Raw genomic sequence first — 21,217 nt, 5'->3', positions numbered from 1 at the left:
ACACAGAGATATTGGGATGGGGGGTATGGGAGGTAGAAGGGTGATTTCCAGAGGCACAAACTGCCCATCGGAGGAAGCAATGCCTACAGGCTAGGCTGGATACCAGAGGCTCAGAAAAAGAACGTGATGTTCTCATACGACCCCCATCCAGATCTCCAGGTGGCACCTGCCACCACACCTGGCTAAGTTTCTGGCTGAAAGTGAAGAAGATAACATTGCAATATTTTCTTGAAGTTCTGCGCAGGTACACAAGCTTTTAAACTCACCCTTCTTGTTTTAAAAATTCGAGACAGAACGTCGCTCCATCACCCAGGCTGGAGTGCCTTGACGTGATCTTGGCTCACTGCAGCCTCGACCTCCTGGGCTCAAGTAATTCTCCGGCCTCCCAAAGTGCTGGAATCATAGGCATGAGCCACCACACCTGGCTGAAACTCACTATTCTGTTTTTTTTTTTTTTTTTTTTTTTTTAGACGGGGTCTTGCTCTGTCGCCCAGGCTGTAGTGCAGTGGCGTGATCTCGGCTCACTGCAACCTCCACCTCCTGGGTTCACTCCATTCTCCTGCCTCAGCCTCCCGAGTAGATGGGATTACAGGCACACGCCACCATGACTTGACTAATTTTTTGCCTTTTTAGTAGAGTGGGGATTTCATCATGTTGGCCAGGATGGCCTTGATCTCTTGACCTTGTGATCCACCCGCCTTGGCCTCCCAAAGTGCTGAGATTACAGGCGTGAGCCACCACACCTGGCTGAAATTCACTATTGTTTATACTTTTTATATCTGTTAAAATTTCCATAACACATTGACATATACAAATCTGGCAATATACATCTACAAGAATAACAGATAAGCAAACATCAGAAACTGAGAAGAGAGATTTTTTCTTTCTTTTTCATAGCATGTTGTCTTTCTGTAAGCTAAAGAGAAGTGAGTGAGTGACAGACCATGGCCCCCTGGACGCATCTAAAATGCTCTATGTGGAAGAGGAAAGAAAGGGAAAATGGGGGGAGAAAGGCAAAGAGGAAATAAGACTTCTCTCCCTGAGAAGTTGAAAACCATTTCACCGTGAGGGAAGTACACCCATCTTAAATATACTTCTCATTTGGAAATGAGAGTTAAGAGAATAGTTTCTTCCACCAGGTAGGTTTAGCCTGAAGTCCTTCAGATGCTGTCTTTGGACGTATATTTGTGTGTGTGTGTGTGTGTGTCTGCATGCATACACATGTTTGACATATACATACACATATATGCTTGTGTATACATATACACGTGTATGTGTATACATATATGCATATTTATACATATACACATATATGTGTATATGCATATGTATACACATACACGTGTATATGTATACATATATGTATATTTATACATATACAATATATGTATACATATACACGTGTATGTGTATACATATATGTATATACATATACAATATATGTCTACATATACATGTACATATGTCAAACATTCATGCATGTAGACACACATATATACATACAAACTCGTGTGCATGTAGATATACACACATACATATACATACACACACACACACACACACACACATATATATATATTTATATATATATATTTTGAGACTGGCTCTGCCGCCCAGGCTGGAGTGCAGTGGCACGATAGCTCACTGCAATCTCCACCTCCGAGGTTCAAGCGATTCTCCTGCCTCAGCCTCCCAAGCAGCTGGGATCACAGGCACCCGCCACCACGCCCGGCTAATTTTTTGTATTTTTAGTAGAGATGGGGTTTCACCATGTTGGCCAGGCTGGTCTCGAACTCCTGACCTCAAGTGATCTGTCCACCTCAGCCTCCCAAAATGCTGGGATTACAGGCTTGAGCCACCATGACCGGCTTAGAACCTTTTCTTTATTTTATTTATTTTATTTTATTTTACTTTATTTTTTTGAGACAGAGTTTCGCTCTTGTCACCCAGGCTGGAGTGCAATGGCGCAATCTCGGCTCACTTTAACCTCCACCTCCCGGGTTCAAGCGATTCTCCTGCCTCAGCCTCCCGAGTAGCTGGAATTACAGGCACCCACCACCACGCCTGGCTAATTTTTGTATTTTTAGTAGAGACGGGGTTTCACCATGTTGGCCAGGCTGGTCTCGAACTCCTGACCTCAGCCATCCACCTCAGCCTCCCAAAGTACTGGGATGACAGGTGTGAGCCACTGCGCCCGACTTAGAACCTCTTCTTATCGTGAAATGATACAATTGGTTCTGTCTCCCTGGAGCACACCAATACCAATATATACGAGGCAAATTGCTGAGAAACTTTCTGCTGCTTAAAGCTCAACCACCGCACAAGCTCCTCTTGGTATACTGGAAACTACACATGGGAAGGTTACCGGAGGTGTTCAGGCATGTCCTGAACTAGGAGGTCTGGGGAGGGAGAGTGGAAAGGGCTAGGAGTCAAAAGGTACAAGTCAGAATGGGGAAGAGGGGCTCAGGCACCTGCCTCTTCCACCACTAGTAAGGAGGCCTGAAGTGGCAGGACCTGCTCCAGGATATACATACTCATAAGAGCATGGCTGCCCAGGGGCCTGAGGTCTTACCCTTCATCCCCCCAAGCTGTGTAATGCTCCAGGTGTGCACCCAGCGCGATGTGGGAAGGCAGCTTTCCCCTGGGTTCCAGCCTTGTAACTGCCTGTGGTCAGACCCACAGGACCATATTTAGGCCACTGACCTGGGTTTGGAATTCCTGTCTCATTCTCAGCTTCCTGCATAACCAGGAATGTGACCTGAGGGAATTTCAGTTCCACCTCTGCAGAGGGAGTGACCACAGGGCCTATCGTGGGCTCTGAGAAGAGAAGAAGTGGGGCCAACTAGTCCTGGGCAATGTGCAGAAGATGGTCAGGGTTAGGTCCAAGTGTTCAGCAGCCAGCAGAACATTGTCTGTGTTAGGTCCTCTAGGTGCAGGACCTTGAGGTTGGACCCACTAACCCTGGCACTGATAGGCCCTTCTAGGTGCTCAGCAAATTGCCCGTCTTCTGCAGTGAATCAGTAGGATGTGCCCAGTCAATAGGCCATCCCCCAGGCCACCTGCAATGGTCATCAGTGAGCCCCTGGGGTCAACAAACCATCTCCAAGGCCACCAACAGTGGTGGTCAGTGAGTCCCCAGGTCAAGAGACCACTTCCCAGCCCACCTGTAATGGTCACCAGTGAGTCCCCAGGGTCAACAAACCATCTCCCAAGTCACCTGCAGTGGTGGTCAGTGAGTCCCCAAGGTCAACAAACCATCTCCAAGTCACCTGCAATGGTGGTGAGTCCCCAAGGTCAACAAACCATCTCCAAGGCCACCAGCAATGGTGGTCAGTGAGTCCCCAGGTCAACAGACCACTTCCCAGCCCACCTGCAGTGGTCACCAGTGAGCCCCTGGGGTCAACAGACCATCATCGCCAAGGCCACCAGCAATGGCCATCAGTGAGCCCACAAGGTCAACACACCACCTCCCAGACAACCTGCAATGGCCGTCAGTGAGCCCCCAAGGTCAACAGACCACTTGAAATGGTCATCAGTGACTCCCCAGGGTCAACAGACCATCTCCCAGGCCACCTGTAATGGTCATCAATGAGTCCCCAAGGTCAACAGACCACCTCCCAGGCTACCGGCAGTGGTCACCAGTGAGCCCCTGGGGTCAACAGATCACCTCTAAGGCCACCAGCAATGGTGGTCAGTGGGCCCCACCAAGTCAACACATCACAGGCCACCTGTGATGATGGTCAGTGAACCCCTGGGGCCAACAGAACACCTCCCAGGCCACTTGTGATAACCATCAGTGTGCCACACCAGGTCCTTAGCAGACCATGGTCCAGGCCTCACTGCCCTGGCCTTTCATGGGGCTAGTGTGTCTGTGGTGTCTCTCTCATACACACACAAAACACACAACATACAACATGTACGTGCTCGCACACACACACCGTCCCTTGTTAAATGCTCATGTTCATGATATAACTTATGTGAGAAGAAAATTTGTATTTGTTCCTGAAAACAGAAGACACTATGAGACTGTGTTTTAGAGGTGTGCCTGCAGAACTCGCTGTTGACATAAATCCAGCAGCATCTGCCCAGTTGGTGGGGAATGCTGGACACAGGACCCCAAGCCTCAGGGCATGGAAGATCAGCATGCTATCCATAAAAATCTCTGGGACCAGTGGGTGGAGGACTAGGCACTGTGCCCATCAATCCAATTAAGCTACTGAAGCTTCCCTGGTCAGTAATTAAGCAGATCACTGGCCGGGCCTGGGGATCCCATCATCACCGCTGTTTGATTTCGTTCTCTGTAGAAGTGCTTGGAATGAAAGTCGGTTTAGCTACAAAACAGCTCTGTAACTCCTCAATGCCGAGAAGTCCTGGCCCAAGCCGCCACCCCGTGCAGGAGATTGTTTCTGCTCCGTGCACAAAGAATCCCCAATCTCCCAACAGTTGGGCTGGCTCGATGATTTTCCAGCTCTTCGATTTGCACTTTCTCCCTCCCTCCCTGAGCTTGTAATGATGGTTCACACTTTATTTCTCCCTGTGCTAGACCCAGAGTCCCAGCTGGAAGTGATGTACTTGATTGAAAAGTTAAAACATAGATCAGAACACCCAGTCCCTTGGTTGGGAGCCTGATGACCTCAAATCTTGCCTCCTTTGTGGGTGAAGTGAAGGGGGCTCCTTGTGATGAGAGGAGATTTTGGGGGCCACTGTCTTTTTGTATGTTGCTGTAACAAAATACTTTAGACTGGGTGGCTTTTGAACACCAGATGTTTATTGCTCACAGTTCTGGAAGTTGGATGTCCAAAATCAAGACATAGAAGATTCAGTGTCTGGTAAGAACCCAGTTCCTGGTTCGTAGATGGCACCTTCTTGCTGTGTCCTTGCATGGTAGAAGGAAAAAAAGGAGCTCTCTGGGGTTCTTTTGATAAGAGCACTCATCCCATCCATGGAGCTTCCATTCTCTTGACCTCATCACTTTCCAAGGGTTCCACCTCTTAATACTATCACCTTGAGTATTAGCTTTCCTCATATGAACTTTGGGGACACAGAAACCTTCAGAGCATAGCACAAATGTTCAAACAAAAATACGTATCCAATTATTCATAGCAGCATTCTTCCCAATCACCAACGGGTAAATACAACCCAAATGTTCACCCATAGGTGAATGGAGAAACAAAATGGCGTCTATCCATATGGTGGAATATGAAACAGCCATCAAACACAATGAAATCCTGACACACGCTGCTATGTGAGTGTACTTTGAGAACATTATGTTCAGTAAATGAAGCCAGATATAAATAAGCCACACCTTGGGTTATTCCATTTATGTGAAATGTCTAGAAGGAATGAATCCCTAGAGATAGAAAGTAGATTAGGGGTTTGCATGGGTTGGGAAAAGGAGGAGTGAGGGCTTAATAGGTACAAGGTCTCCATTTAGGGTGATTAGAATGTTCTGGAAGGAGATGGAGGTAATGGCTATACAGCATGGGGAATGTTGAATGTTCTGGAAGGAGATGGAGGTAATGGCTATACAGCATGGGGAATGTTCTGAATGTCACTAGTAGTAAATGTTATGTTATATGTATTTTGCCATAATTAAAATGTAAAGATAGCTGGGTGTGGTGGCTCACACCTGTAATCCCAGCACTTTGGGAGGTGGAGGTAGGTGGATCACCTGAGATCAGGAGTTTGAGACCAGCCAGACCAACATGGTGAAACCAACATCTCTACTAAAATACAAAATGAGCATGGTGTGGTGACGGGCGCCTGTAATCCCAGCTACTTAGGAGGCTGAGGCAGGATGATTGCTTGAACCCAGGAGGCAAAGGTTGCAGTGAGCCAAGTTTGCATCATTGCACTCCACCCTGGGCAGCAGAGCGAGACTCTGTCTCAAAAAAAAAAAGGAAAGAAAATTTTAATTCCCAGCTCACAGTGCCTGAGATAAGGTATAGGACAGAACAAGGACACCATAAGCAAGGCTTGCTCTTTGTGAGGGAAGCCTGAGAGAAACTTCACTTGCTATGTATTGTTTAAGATGCTATGTATTGTTTTAATATCAAATGCTGTGCATTACAGTGCATAAGGTATCTTTTGAAGCTTTCCTGAAGCTTCCATTTGGAAAATCATGCTTAACCCTACACCTGGTCTTCTTGGCAAGTCAACTCAAAAGGACACCCCGCTACACACCACCTCCTAGTGGCAACGAAGACTAATTGCAGGAATACTCCTACATTCAGATCCTCATTCAAGACTGTCCTGCCAACCCAGAACTCAGCCTTGAAAAATCAGAATGAGGATCTTTGAAGTGGGAGAGGGATGGGAGGTAATTAGAAGAGGAGAGGCATTTTTTTTTTTGAGATGGAGTTTTCCGTTTTGTCACCCAGGCTGGAGTGCAATGGCACAATCTCAGCTCACTGCAACCTCCACATCTCAGGTTCAAGTGATTCTCCTGCCTCAGCCTCCCCAGTAGCTGGGACTACAGGCATGTGCCACCACACCCAGCTAATTTTTTATATTTAGTAGAGATGGGGATTCACCATGTTGGCCAGGCTGTTCTCAAACTCCTGACCTCAGGTGATCTACCCGCCTCGGCCTCCCAAAGTGCTGGGATTACAGGCATGAGCCACCGCGCCCGGCCGAGGAGAGGCATTTCTAAACTTGAGGCATTGTTTTAAATTTGAAAACAAACATTTAAAAAATCATTGCCCAGTGGATCAATTATTAGTGGATCAATTATTATTAAATCTATCCATTTGAAACACACCTGATGCTTAAGGAAGACCCAGGTAGAACCCAAAGTTTGCTTCCCTTGCAAGAAAAAGAAAATAACTACATCAAGTCAAATGGAAGGAGTTTCACCCCAAGTAATACAACGGTCTCATTAGGTATGCATGCCACGAGTCCAGGCTCTCAACCTTGTGCTATACTTTGGGAAAAGAATGAGATAAACTTATTCTTTTTTCAGCCAAATACCAAGAAAGAATGAAGATCTCAGGAATTTCAATGAGACTAAGTTGCCCAGCTAGCTGTTTTTATTTAAATAAGGACAATGATGACTATGATTATATGTTCAGAACTAGAATAAAGCTCTTATCTTATGAAAACAGATATTTTCAGAATTTTTCAGTCACTTTCTTTGTATAATCCCTTCCTCACTTTTCTTCTTTTGCTTTCAGTAAACGAACAGAGCGGAAAACATAAACCCCTTCATTAAAAGTCTCTGCAAAAAGATGCAAACTTTCTAAAAATGTCTTTCACTTCACCTATTCCACAGAAATGATTGTGATTCTCTTTGAAAAAACCTGCAGCTCATTTTTGAACCAGGCTCTTACTAGCATGGATTAAGTAAAAGCCTGAACATACATTTTATTTTGTAAAAGAAATGTTCACATTCAGTTAAAAGTATTGGATCTCACTTATATAAAGAATCTACAAAAATAAAAGAATGAAAAGAAGGCAGAAAGAAGGAAATGAAAAAGAAAGGAAGGCAAATACAAAATACAAAAAATTAGCTGGGCATGGTGGTGGGTGCCTGCAGTCCCAGCTACTCAGGAGGCTGAGGCAGGAGAATGGCGTGAACCCGGGAGGCGGAGCTTGCAGTGAGCCAAGATCACGCCACTGCACTCCAGCCTGGGCGAAAGAGCGAGACTCCTTATCAGAAAAAAGGAAGAAAGGAAAGAAGGAAGGAAGGAAGAAAGAAAATATATAGAAATAGAAAAAATGGTGGTTGTTATAGATGATGTAGAATAAGTCTAGAAATCAAATGCAAAATATAAGGACTATAATACATTTCATATTTAGGATTTTTGTTAAGAGAGTAGATTTAAGGTGCTCTTGTCGCAAAAAAGGTAAATATGTGAGATGATAGCTGTGTTCATTTTCTTAACAATTATAATCATTTCACTATGTCACTATATCAAAAAATCATGTTGCACACCTTAAATACATACAACAGAAATTAATTTTAAAAAAGAAACCAACTCAAACAATGAATCCGGGGATGCTATAATTTATATCAGAAGAGTGCTTTAGAATTGACAAAGTACGCTACACACTTTACCTTGTTGGAACCCTTCCATAAATACGGAGAAACCATCTTTCATTCTCATTTTACAGATGAGAAATGGAGGCTTAAAGAGAGCTAAGTCTCTACCCAAGGTCGTATAACCTGTTCAACACAATATGCTATTCAGGAAAAGCAGAGAGTACTGCGGTCGACATGAATTATTAGTGTGGGCATGTTTATGTGTTTAGTGAACCCAGAGAGGCAATAACCATTATGCCTCTTTGCTCAAGTTGGCCGAATTAAACAAGCCGTCTTGACTCCACCCTGTATGGTTTGTGTCTCCCAAGCTTCATGTGTTGGAAACTTCTCTCTCAAATTAGTATGTTGTAGTATTTGGAGTGGCACCCTTAGGAGACAATTAGAATTAGGTAAGATCATCAAAGCGAGGCCCACATGGACAGAGCTGGTGGCATTATAAGTCCTCCACTATGTTGTACTATAGCAAGAGGCTCTCATCAGATGCAGGCACCATGCCTTTTGGACTTGCCAGCCTCCAGGACTTTACAAAATAAACTTCTTCTGTGAATTACCCAGACGGTGTTACTCTGTTGTAGCAACAGCAAATGGATTAAGACACCTCCTGGGCCGGGTGCAGTGGCTCACGTCTGTTATCCCAGCACTTTGAGAGGCTGAGGTGGGTGGATCACTTGAGGTCAGGAGTTCGAGACTAGCCTGGCCAACATCGTGAAACTCCATCTCTACTAAAAATACAAAAATTAGCCAGGCTTGGTGGCAGTGCCTGTAATGCCAGCTACTCGGGAGGTGGAGACAGGAGAATTGCTTGAACCCGGGAAGCAGAGGTTGCAGTGAGCTGAGATTGTGCCACTGCACTCCAGCCTGGGCAACAGAGCGAGACTCCGTCTCAAAAAAAAAAAAAAAAAAAAAAAGAGATACCTCCTGAACTCAGCCTGGCTATGCGTCTTCTGCAAAGCAATTCCATTCACTTCAGAACAAGCCATCCGTGGCCTCCCAAAGAACATTCACAGAGACCATTTTTCTTTCCTGGAAAACTCTCCGCTGCAAAGCGTATTCTGTCTCTGACAGTTACTTGGACTTCACAGGCATTTATGCAGTGACCTTTTTGACTGTTGACGATCTTTCATTTCCAGTTGGTCTCGGTAGAAGTGGCATTTCACACCCACCCGGCAATGATGCCAGACCAGGCCTGATTCTCCTCTGTCCCAACGGGCAATGAATCGGTGCTTGATGATACGTAAACACAGCTGCATGGAAGAACTCCAGAGCTCGAGTTCAAATTCCCAGTGCCTCCCTCCGTTTCCTGATAGATAAGCAACAGTGCCTCTAGATGGTCAAAGAGAGACCTCTGCCGAAGCCAATTCCATCATCTTCATGAACAGCCACCCCCTCAGCATCAACTGAGAGCATCAGTATACTTGTAAAATGAATACTAGAAGCCTACGGGGACTTACGCAGAAGGCACTCAGGTCTTTTGAGATTTTGACTCGCTGCCATATTGGAGGATTGGAATGTAAGGTGCCCTGCAGTAGAGGACATCTTCTGTTGTAGCTTTGTTTCTTTAGTGCTTATTCCATGATGAGTGCAGGTACAACCCTGCTCATTCCCAGCAAGGGCAGGATAGCAGAAGTCCAGGCTTCATCTGTCTCACAGAACACAGGTAAATGGACATGGATTGTCCTATATAAAGAAATGTGCCAAATTGGTCCAATGTACAGAAACTGTAGTCACTCAACTTTGCTTTGCTTTTTCCTTCCTTCCTCCCTCCCTCCCTCGTTTCTTTCTCTCTTTCTTTCATCTTTCTTTCTCTTTCTTCCTTTCTCTTTCTCTTTTTTTCTTTTTCTTTGTCTCTTTCTCTCTTTCTCTCTCTCTTTCTCTTTCTTTCTCTCTCTCTTTCTCCTTCCTTCCAGCCTGGCCAACATGGTGAAATCCCGTCCCTACTAAAAATACAAAAATTAGCCGGGCATGATGGTGCACACCTGTAATCCCAGCTACTCGGGAGGCTGAGGCAGGAGAATTGCTTCAACCCAGGAGGCAGACATTGCAGTGAGCTGAGATTGCACCGCTGTACTCCAGCCTGGACAACAGAGCAAAACTCCGTCAAAAAAAAAAAAAAAAGAAAGAAAAGAAAAGAAAGAGAAGGGGCCCAGGAGTGACTTGCTGGAGAATTTGGCTCAGGGGTGGTCCCTGTTCAGCCCATTTCTGTCTCAACAAAGGAGATCAAAGCTACACTTAGAAGCTTTCCTAGGTCACAAAAGCATCAATGTTGTTAGTTAGCAACGGGGACTATTTTTATGGCTTTTGAAGACAGGGATAAAGTCCTTCTATGGTGAAAGTCACAAGGGATATGGACTATATAATCAGGACAAAATAAAGGGAAGATGGTGAATTATTACAAATCAAAAAACTTTTATGAGACAAATCAGCCATCTAAAGTGTGTGGAGTTTCTTTCCATTTTTATTTAAAGAAACCAACCACAGAAAGTCATTTCTAAGACTGAGGGAAATTTGAACACATACTGATGAGTAGATAAAAGTATTGTTGGGCCGGGCGCAGTGGCTGACACCTGTAATCCCTGCACTTTGGGAGGCCAAGGCGGGTGAATCACAAGGTCGAGAGTTTGAGACCAGCCTGGCCAACATGGTGAAACTCAGTGTCTACTAAAAATACAAAAAAGTCAGCCGGGCATAGTTGCGGGCACCTGTAATCCCAGATACTTGGGAGGCTGAGGCAGGAGAATTGCTTGAACCCAGGAGGCAGAGGTTGCAGTGAGCCGAGATCACGCCACTGCACTCCAGCCTGGACGACAGAGTGAGACTCTGTCGAAGAACAAAAAGGCCTGATGAGGAAAAAAAAAAAAAAGTTCTGTAGAATTGAAAGGCAGAATGATAATGATGTCTAAGATTTTCTTTCAAATACCGTGGCCAAAAAAATTAAAATGGAAAAATAAAACACATTGATAACTGTTTGTAATCGTTAAAACCTGAGTGGTAGATGCATTAGGGTTCATTAAACCATTTTTTAAGGAAACAGAATTCGAGATCTGAGTACACAATCTCCATCTGAAAGCAAAAAATGCTTCTCCATTTTTAGAAACCAGTTTGTAGATAAGTATGCATGCTGTTAGCTTATATGCTTTAATGCTCTTTAATACGATTTTATATTGTGCCACTGGAAGAATTGTATTTCGTCACTTAGAAAATATCTACTCTAATCTGTAAAAGCAGAATAAATTGCTTCACCAAAGAGACACACAGAGAGAACCCTCAGTGAATCAGACAGCTCAATCATCTATGTAAATATGACCTGAGGGATGGCAGCATTGGGCTTCATTTAATTATTTTACAAAACGTGCCATGCATTTACCATTCCATATACTTTACGATCTTCTGTGGAACAGCTGCAGCCCACACTGCCATACTTGGAAATTGTTTCCATCCATGACACAGGCGCCACTGTGGGCTTAGACATTGCATTATAAAACACGGTGCTTTTCACCAGGTTTATCACTATACCAGCTTATATTTTGGAATAACTTCTATTGATTCTCAAGGATTGCCAGCGGAGACATACTTGGTAGTTACCCAAATGTATTGCGTGGCTGAAATTCATTTTTTGTTTTTTTGAGAAGGAGTTTTGCTCTTGTTGCCCAGGCTGGAGTGCCATGGCAGAATCTCAGCTCACTGCAACCTCCGCCTCCCGGATTCAAGCGATTCTCCTGCCTCAGCCTCCCAAGTAGCTGGGATGACAGGCATAAGCCACCACACCCAGCTGATTTTTTGTATTTGTTAGAGACAGAGTTTCACCATGTTAGTCAGGCTGTTCTCAAACTCCTGACCTCAGGTGATCGACCCGCTTCAGCCTCCCAACGTGCTGGGATTACAGGCATGAGTCTCCACGTCCGGCGGCGTGACTGAAATCTTTACATGAGTTTATATAACGGGTGTTACACACAGTGGCAGGTTACAGTTCTTAATATACAGCCATGGATGGATTTCACTGAGCTTTCCAGCTTAACTCACATTTTAATCAAAGCTGGCTTTTAACATTTTTCCACTTGTCATTAAAAAAAAAAATCCACTGACTGCCTATGTGTCACCAATGACATGATTATTAAGAATCCTCGTTGAGTAGACAATGAGTCACTATGCAAAGCAGGCGGGAAGGTATACTGCCAACCCTGTTCACTAAATGGCAACCTCCTGTTCCAAGGTCTTTTTATATACAAAATCATTGACAGCATCAGATAGCTGTTAAAGACCTCAAGATAGTATTTGAGGTCTCAGCCTTGGCAAGTCTGAATATATTCATTAAAAGCAATTGCTTTAGCGTAGTATTCAGAAAGACTCTTTGATGATTTCAAGCTCTTGTGCCATTGAATTAAGGTAGACTTCCTTGTTATCTAGTTTGACATCCTGTTATCTAGTTTCTGGCCAAATTGCCTCTGTGGCCAGAACATTCTCTTTGTCTAAGTTGGATCATGTCCTCTCTCTCCTTTAAAGAATGCTTTGAGGTCCTACTCACTCTCTTTACTGAGCTACGTAAGTTGCCACAAATCCTCTTCCTTAAAATTGTAGCTTATTCTGTACAGCAAAACAAAGAATCAACAGAGTAAACACACAACTCACAGAATGGGAGAAAAATTTGCCCAACTATGAATCCGACGAAGGACTAACATCCAGAATCTACAAGGAACTCAAACAAATCAGCAGGAAAAAAAAACAAACAATCCCATCAAAACATAGGCAAAGGGCATGAATAGACAATTCTCAAAAGTAGATATATGAATGTCCAATGAGCATATGAAAAAATGCTCAACATCACTAATGATCAGGGAAATGAAAATTAAAACCACAGTGAGATACCATCTTACTCCTGCAAGAATGGCCATAATTCAAAAATCAAAGAATAACAGATGTTGGTGTGGATGTGGTGAAAAGGGAACACTTTTACACTGCTGGTGGGAATGTAAACTAGTTTAACCACTATGGAAACCACTGCGGAGATTCCTTAAAGAACTAATACTAGAACTACCATTTGTTCCCGGTATGGAGACTCCTTAAAGAACTAATAATAGAACCACCATTTGATCCAGGTATGGAGATTCCTTGAAGAATTAATAATAGAACCACCATTTGATCCAGGTATGGAGACTCCTTGAAGAACTAAAACTAGAACTACCATTTGATCCAGGTATGGAGATTCCTGAAAGAACTAATAATAGAACTACCATTTGATCCAGGTATGGAGACTCCTTAAAGAACTAATAGTAGAACTACCATTGGATTCAGGTATGGAGACTCCTTAAAGAACTAATACTAGAACTACCATTTGATCCAGGTATGGAGACTCCTTGAAGAACTAATAATAGAACTACCATTTGATCCAGGTATGGAGGTTCCTTGAAGAACTAAAAGTAGATCAACAATTTCATCCAGCAATCTCAGAACTGAGTATCTACACAGTGGAAAAGAAGTCATTATATGAAAAAAGGCACTTGCCTTTTATTATTATTTATTGATTGACTGACTTTTGTTTCAGTAGTTTTTGGAGGACAGGTGGTTTTAGGTTACATGGATGAGTTCTTTAGTGGTAACTGATAGCAGCACAATTCGCGATTGCAAAAATATGACACCAGCCTAAATCCCCATCAACCAAGGAGTGGATAAAGAAAGTGTGGTGTATATACACCACGGAATACTACTCACCCATAAAATGGAGCAAAATAATGTATTTTGCAGTAACATGGATGGAAGTGGAGGCCATTATTCCAAGTGAAGTAACTTGGGTATAAGAAAACTAAATATCAAACGTTCTCAGTCATAAGTGCGAGCTAAGCTACGAGGATGCAAAGGCATAAGAATTATACAATGGACTTTGAGGACTCGGGGGAAAGGGTAGGAGGGGAGTGAGGGATAAAAGACTACACATTGAGTACAGTGTACATTCCTTGAGTGATGGGTGCATGAAAATCTCAAAAATCACTGCTAAAGAAATTATCCATGTAACCTAAAACCACCTGTTCTCCAAAAATGACTGAAACAAAAGTAAATAAATAAGTAATAAAAAAAATTGTAGCTTAAGCAGCTCAGCTTTCATTGTAATGGTATTCCTTAGCTAGGGCAGCCATGAAAAAAAAAAATCACTGCTGAAGAAATGGCTCAGGCAAGACACAGTGGCTCACACCTGTTATCTCAGAATTTGGGAGGCCAAGGTGGCTGGATGACTTGAGGTCAAGAGTTTGAAACAAGATTGGCCAACATGGTGAAACCTCGTCTATACCAAAAATATAAAAAATTATCCGGGCATGGTGGCTTGTGCCTGTAATCCCAGCTACTCAGGAAGCTGAGGCAGGAGAATCACTTGAACCCAGGAGGCAGAGGTCACAGTGAACCGAGATTGCGCCACTGCACTCCAGCCTGGGTGACAGAGCAAAACTCCATCTCAGAAAGAGAGAAGAAACAAGGAAAGGAAGGAAAGGAAGCAAAGGAAGGAAAAGAAGAAAGAGAGAAAGAGAGAGAAAGGAAGGAAGGAAGGAAGAAAGAAAGAAAGAAAAAAGAAAAGAAAGAAGGAAGAAAAGAAAAAAGTGGCTGCAATGAACAGAAATGGATTCTCTCACAGCTCTGGAGACCAGAAGTCTGAAATGAAGGTGTCTACAGAGTTGGTTTACTTCTGGAGGCTTTGAGGGAGAATCTGTTCCAGGTCTCCCCGCTAGCATCTGGTGGTCGCCAGCACGTCTTGGTGCTCCTTGGCTGGTGGACGCATTACCTCAATCTCTGCTTCTTATCTTCTCCGTTTCCCTTGGTGTCTGGACTCATTACATTTGCAGAGACCTGATTTCCAAAGAAGGTCACGTTAACAGGTACCTGGCGTCAGAACTTGAACCTAATGTTGTAGGGCACACAATTCTACCCATGTCACTCCCTGACACCCAGATTCTGTCCTTTGCTTTCATGGTTGTTGTGACAATACATGAGTCTTCCCTACATGTACTAGATCAGCATTCCTCAAAAGTAGAGATGAAAACCAACATCTGGCTGGGTGCAGTGGCTCACACCTGTAATTCCAGCACTTTGGGAGGCGGAGGCAGGCAGATCACCTGAGGTCAGGAGTTTGAGACCGGCTGGGCCAACATGGTGAAACCCCGTCTCTACTAAAAATACAAAAAAAAAAAAAAAAAAATTAGGCGGGAGTGGTGGCAGGCGCCTGTAATCCCAGCTACTCAGGAGGTTGAGGCAGGAGAAGCGCTTAAACCCGTGAGGCAGAGGTTGCAGTGAGCCAAGATCACACCATTGCACTCCAGCGTGGGCAACAAGAGTGAAACTCCATCATCTCAAAAAAAAAAAAGAAAAAGAAAAGAAAAGCAGTATCTGGGTACTGATAGACTATTTAAAACGTGATTGCAGCAGGGCACAATGGCTCATGCCTGTAATCCCAGCACTTTGAGAGGCCGAGGTGGGCAGATCACGAGGTCACGAGATCAAGACCATCCTGGCTAACACAGTGAAACCCAGTCTCTACTAAAAATACAAAAAAATTAGGCGGGCCTGGTGGCGGGCACCTGTAATCCCAGCTGCTCAGGAGGTTGAGGCAGAAGAATCGCTTAAACCCGGGAGGCGGAGGTTGCAGTGAGCCAAGATCACGCCATCGCACTCTAGCCTAGGCAACAAGAGCAAAACTCCATCTCAAAAAAAAGAAAAGAGAAAAGAAAAGCAGTATCTGGATACTGATAGATTATTTAAAAGGTGATTGCAGCCTGGCATGGTGGCTCATGCCTGTAATCCCAGCATTTTGGGAGGCCGAGGCGGGCAGATCATGAGGTCAGGAGATCGAGACTATCCTGGCTAACATGTTGAAATCCATCTCTACTAAAAATACAACAAAAACAACAACAAAAAAACTTAGCCAGGTGTTGTGGTGTGTGCCCGCAGTGCCAGCGACTTGGGAGGCTGAGGCAGGAGAATGGCGCGAACCCGGGAGGTGGAGTTTGCAGTGAGCCGAGATCGCTCCACTGCACTCCAGCCTAGGGGACAGAGCGAGACTCCGTCTCAAAAAAAAAAAAAAAAAAAAAAAAAAAGGTGATTGCATAAAGCAAAAATAAGAGATGGTGAGAGGAGTGCTGCCATATGGGGAAGATCCAACAGCTGGGGTTGCTATGGCACTTGTTACTGCCATGGGCAAGGGGGTCTGTATCCTGCTGAGGACCCTCTGAAGGATGGAAAGGCTGGAACATTTATCTATCAATTCCTGTTCTCTCACTGCACAGATGGAATCCGTTCTGCAGCATGGAGCAACTCCCTATGCTTCCAAGAAAGCCCTGAGTGAGATGGCTAGCTCCAACTATGTGGATGCAGAGACACAGAGAAGGCTGCAGTGTGATGGGGGCTATGAGAAGTGACCACAATGAAACAACCCAACATCAGTGCATGGATCTTCACTCATCCACAATACCCAGAAAACAAGATCAATAAGCATTCGGGGCATAGCACCAGGTACGGAGCTAAGCTAGGTATGCATTCAACGTCTGACCCCAGAAAAAGGGATATTGTAAATTGGTGCTGTAACTCAGGGGTCCTGAATCCCCAGGGCACAGACCACCACTGGTCCATAGCCTGTTAGGAACCGGGCCACAGAGCAGGAGGTGGGCAGCAGGTGAGTAGCAAAGCTTCATCTGTATTTTTTTATTTTTTATTTTTTGAGATGGAGTCTCATTCTGTCACCCAGGCTGGAGTCCAGTGGTGCAATCTCAGCTCACTGCAACCTCCGCCGCCTGGGTTCAAGCGATTCTCCTGCCTCAGCCTCCTGAGTAGCTGGAATTACAGGTAGTCACACCCCACATCAAGCTAATTTTTGTATTTTTAGTAGAGACAGTGTTTCACCATGTTGGCCAGGCTGGTCTTGAACTCCTGACCTCAGGTGATCCGCCCACCTTGGCCTCACAAAGTGCTGGGATTACGGGCATGAGCCACCATACCTGGCTTCTTCGTCTGTGTTAACGGCTGCTCCCCATCACTTGTGTTACCACCTGAGCTCCACCTCTTGTCAGATCAGCAGTGGCGTTAGAGTCTCATAGCAGTGTGAACCCTATTGCGAACCGCACATGTGAGGGATCTAGGTTACGTGCTCCTTATGAAAATCTAATGTGTGATGATCTGTTACTGTCTCCCATCACGCCTGGATGGGACCATCTAGTTGCAGGAAAACAAGCTCAGGGCTCCCACTGATTCTATGCAATGGTGAGTTGTAGAATTATTTCATTCTGTATTACAATGTAATAATAATAATAGAAATGAAGAACACAATCAATGTCATGTACTCAAATCATCCCAAAACCATCTCCAGGTCATCATCCATGGAAAAAATCATCTTCCACAAAACTGGTCCCTGGTACCAAAAGGGTTGGGAACCACGGCTGTAAATAAAGCTTGAATGGAAAACAGTATGAAGATTTCTCAAAAGACTAAAAATAAAACTATGATTTGATCGAGGAATCCCACTCCTGGGCATAAACCCAAAGGGTAAGAAATCATCCTTTCAATGTATCACCTGAGGTTAGCAGTTTGAGACCAGCCTGGCCAACATGGTGAAACCACATCTCTACTAAAAATACAAAATTAACTGAGTGTGGTGGCAGGTGCCCGTAATCCCAGCTACTTGGGAGGCTGAGGCAGGAGAATTGCTTGAACCCAGGAGGTGGACATTGCAGTGAGCCGAGATCACACCACTGGACTCCACCTGGGTGACAGAATGAGACTCTGTCTCGAAAGAAGAAAGAAAGAAAGAAAAGAAAAGAAAAGAAAGAAAGAAAGAAAGAAAGAAAGAAAGAAAGAAAGAAAGAAAGAAAGGAAAGAAAGAAAGAAAGAAAGAAAGAAAGAAAGAAAGAAAGAAAGAAAGAAAGGAAAGAAAGGAAAGAAAGAAAGGAAAGAAAGAAAGGAAAGAAAGAAAGGAAAGAAAGGAAAGAAAGAAAGAAAGAAAGAAAGAAAGAAAGAAAGAAAGAAAGAAAAAGAAAGAAAGAAATCATCCCATCAAAAATACACCCATAGTCATATGTTTATCACAGTATATTCACAGCAACAAAGATACGGAATCAGTCTAGGTATCTGCCATTGGAGAATTAGATTAAAAAAAAAAACTGTGGTATTTATACACCATGGAATATTACACAGGCTTAAAAAGAATGAAATCATGTCTTCCAAAGAGATGTGGATGAAGCTGGAGGCCATTATCCTAAGATAAATAACTCAGAAAAAGAAAATCAAATACTGTATGTTCTTACTTATAAGTAGGAGCTAAATAATAGGTACCCATAAACATAAGAGATGGAGTTCACAGACACTGGGGAGTCCAAAGGGGAGAGTGTTGGGGTGTGGGGGGGTGAAAGTTGAAAATGTATCTCTTTTTTTTGTCTTTTTTTTTTTTGAGATGGAGTCTCACTCTGTTGCCCAGGCTGGAATGCAGTGGCGAGATCTCGGCTCACTGCAACCTCTGCCTCCCAGGTTCAAGTGATCCTCCTGCCTCAGCCTCCCAAGTAGCTGGGATTACAAGTGCCTGCCACCATGCCCAGCTAGTTTTTGTATTTTTAGTAGATACAGGGTTTCACCATGTTGGCCAGGTGGGTCTTGAACTCCTGACCTTGCGATCCACCTGCCTCAGCCTCCTAAAGTGCTGGGATTACAGGCTTCAGCCACCATGCCCAGCCAGGAGCAGGTGTCTTACATGGCCAGAACAGGAGGAAGAGAGGAGAGAGAGAAGATGCCATACAGTTTTAAACAACCCAATCTCATGAGAATTCACTCACTATACAGTAGCAAGGGGGATGGCGTTACACCATTCATGAGAACTCTGCCCCCTTTATCCCATCACCTCCCACCAGCTCCTCTACCTCCAACACTAGAGATTACAATTTGACATGAGATTTGGGTGGGAACACAGATGCAAACCATATCGCCAGGCCTGTTGAGTCAACTCCTTTCCGTACACACATGCAAAATTTCAAATTGGTCAGTAAAGCCTCACCCATCACCCACTTCCACCAATCCCACCTCCAGTCATGGCCAAAGAAGGCACAAGACCCCAGTTCAAATCACTGTCTTGTGAGGCTGTTCTTTCTACTAGGACCTCAGTTGTGTCTACCAATGATGACTTCAATTGTGTACGATGGATCACTACCAATTTGGAAGTTGCCCTCCCAGCTCTGGTTTCCCCAGCTGTAAAATGGATAAGGTTGTGCTAGATAATTCCCAAGGCTCTATCCATCTTTGATATCCTCTGACTGAATACAGATATTCTACAGAAGGACTGGAGTTGGGCTGTGTCCCAGAACAAAGTGTTACACTTAGGTGCTCTTATCTGTGTTCCTGCCCTTGAGAAAAAAAGTGTCTTCATCCTGCCTAATTTATCAGCTTGTCCTGCATTCCAGAAAATCACAGCTATTTGGCAAATACAAATAGAGTCTCATCAGAATAAGACTCTTAAAACAGTTTTCTGGGTTTTGTTTGTACGTTTTTCTTCCTTAAGACATACCTTGACTCGGGAGGACATTTTCTAGATCATTTAAGTAATGGGGTCTTCCAAGAGCATCTCTTAGATCAGCAAAGTCTGGTTGAATTTCCGTGCCTGCTATTATAAATGGGAACATGCTGTCCTCTGCCGCTCTTACCATTCCAGCCCAAATGGAAGATCCTGTTTAATTTGGTTATTTGAAAGTAATTTCATAGATGAGGAAAGGAAGAACACAGATGTTAGATTGCTTCAAGGCCATTACGATATTGCAGAAGAGATTAGCCTTCTTGGAGTTCTGGGTCGGGCGAGGAGAAGGAAGACGAATGAAGGGTAGGAAACAATATGTATTTATCTTTAAGTTTAGGAGTCCAAAACACCACTTGTTCAGAGATGCCAAATAATTAATTTCCTCAAACCAGGCCACTTTCGGAATGCTGAACACTGCTTGTTTTCTTTGAGCCTCCACATTTTATCATCTTTTCAATGTTCCTATGCAATTTGAAAGGTAGCAAGGGGTTGAAAGATTCCTCAATCCCAGCACTTTGGGAGTCTGAGGTGGGCAGATCACAAGGTCAGGAGATCGAGACCATCCTAGACAAGATGGTGAAACCCCATGTCTACTAAAAATACAAAAAAAAAAAAAAAAAAAAAAAATCAGCCGGCCGTGGTGGCATGCGCCTGTAGTCCCTGCTACTTGGGAGGCTGAGACAGGAGAATTGCTTGAATCTGAGAGACGGATGTTGCAGTGAGCCGAGATCGTGCCACTGAACTCCCAGCCTGGTGACAGAGCAAGACTCTGTCTCAAAGAAAAAAAAAAAGAAAGAGAGATTCCTCTCTGTGGGTATTCTATGCTTAATTCTCTCTTCTTCCAAGAGCACTAAAAACACAAGGAAGGTCATAGGAGAAACAGGCCACATCTCAGCACCCCAAAATCGATCCCACAGTTAGAGGGCATGCATTAGGATTCAGATGCTGTTGTAGAAAAATACCAACAACTGCGTGGCTTGAAACAGCAGACGTCTGTTCTCTCGAACTTCTGGAGGCCAACAGCTGAGATCAAGGTATCAGTAGGCTTGGTTCCTTCTGGAGGCTCAGAGGAGACATCAGGAAACTTACAAACATGGCAGAAGGCAAAGTGAGAACAAGTGTCTTACCTAGCCAGAGCAGGAGGAAGAGAGAAGACAGAAAAAGTGTTACACAGTTTTAAACAACCAGATCTCATGAGAACTCGGTTACTGTAGTACCAAGGGGGTAATGGTGCGAAACCATTCATGAAAACCATTCACGAGAACTCTGCCCCCGTCATCCAATCACCTTTCACCAGCCCCCCTGCTCATATCAATTATATGGTTGGCTCTGTGTCCCCACCCAAATCTCATCAGGAATTGTAATCTCACCCAAATCGGGAGAGATCCATTATACGTAATTGAAGTCACAATTGATATACACAACTAAAGTCTTAGTAGAAAGAAGAGCTCCACAAAAAAGACAGTTTTTTGAACTGGGGTCTTGTGTCTTCTCTGGCCGTAACTGGAGGTGGGATTGATGGAAGAGGATCATGCGTGAGGCGTTACTGACAGCTTTGAAGTTTTACATGTGGGTATGGGAAGCGGTTAATTCAGCATGCCTGGCGATATAGTTTGCATCTGTGCCCCCACCCAAATCTCATGTCAAAT

General features: G+C 44.1%; 1 long non-coding RNA gene across 2 annotated transcripts; it reads right to left on the bottom strand.

Annotated features, from left to right (window-relative positions):
- Positions 1 to 6,589: 6,589 nt before the first annotated feature.
- Positions 6,590 to 20,139, bottom strand: LOC105379413 (uncharacterized). 2 transcript variants are annotated; one of them, XR_001756042.2, is made up of 3 exons: positions 19,563 to 20,139; positions 14,659 to 14,872; positions 6,590 to 9,718 (listed from the first exon to the last, which is right to left on the bottom strand). It is a non-coding gene; the product is annotated as an uncharacterized LOC105379413 (long non-coding RNA). The 2 variants fall into 2 exon arrangements; XR_001756045.2 differs by having other exon boundaries at positions 14,710 to 14,872.
- Positions 20,140 to 21,217: the final 1,078 nt, after the last annotated feature.

Source organism: Homo sapiens, chromosome Y, assembly GCF_000001405.40.
Source record: "Homo sapiens chromosome Y, GRCh38.p14 Primary Assembly".
In the NCBI taxonomy this organism is placed as follows: domain Eukaryota; kingdom Metazoa; phylum Chordata; class Mammalia; order Primates; family Hominidae; genus Homo; species Homo sapiens.
The sequence above is the reverse complement of the archived record's forward strand: the minus strand, read 5'-3'. Positions and strand labels throughout refer to the sequence as shown.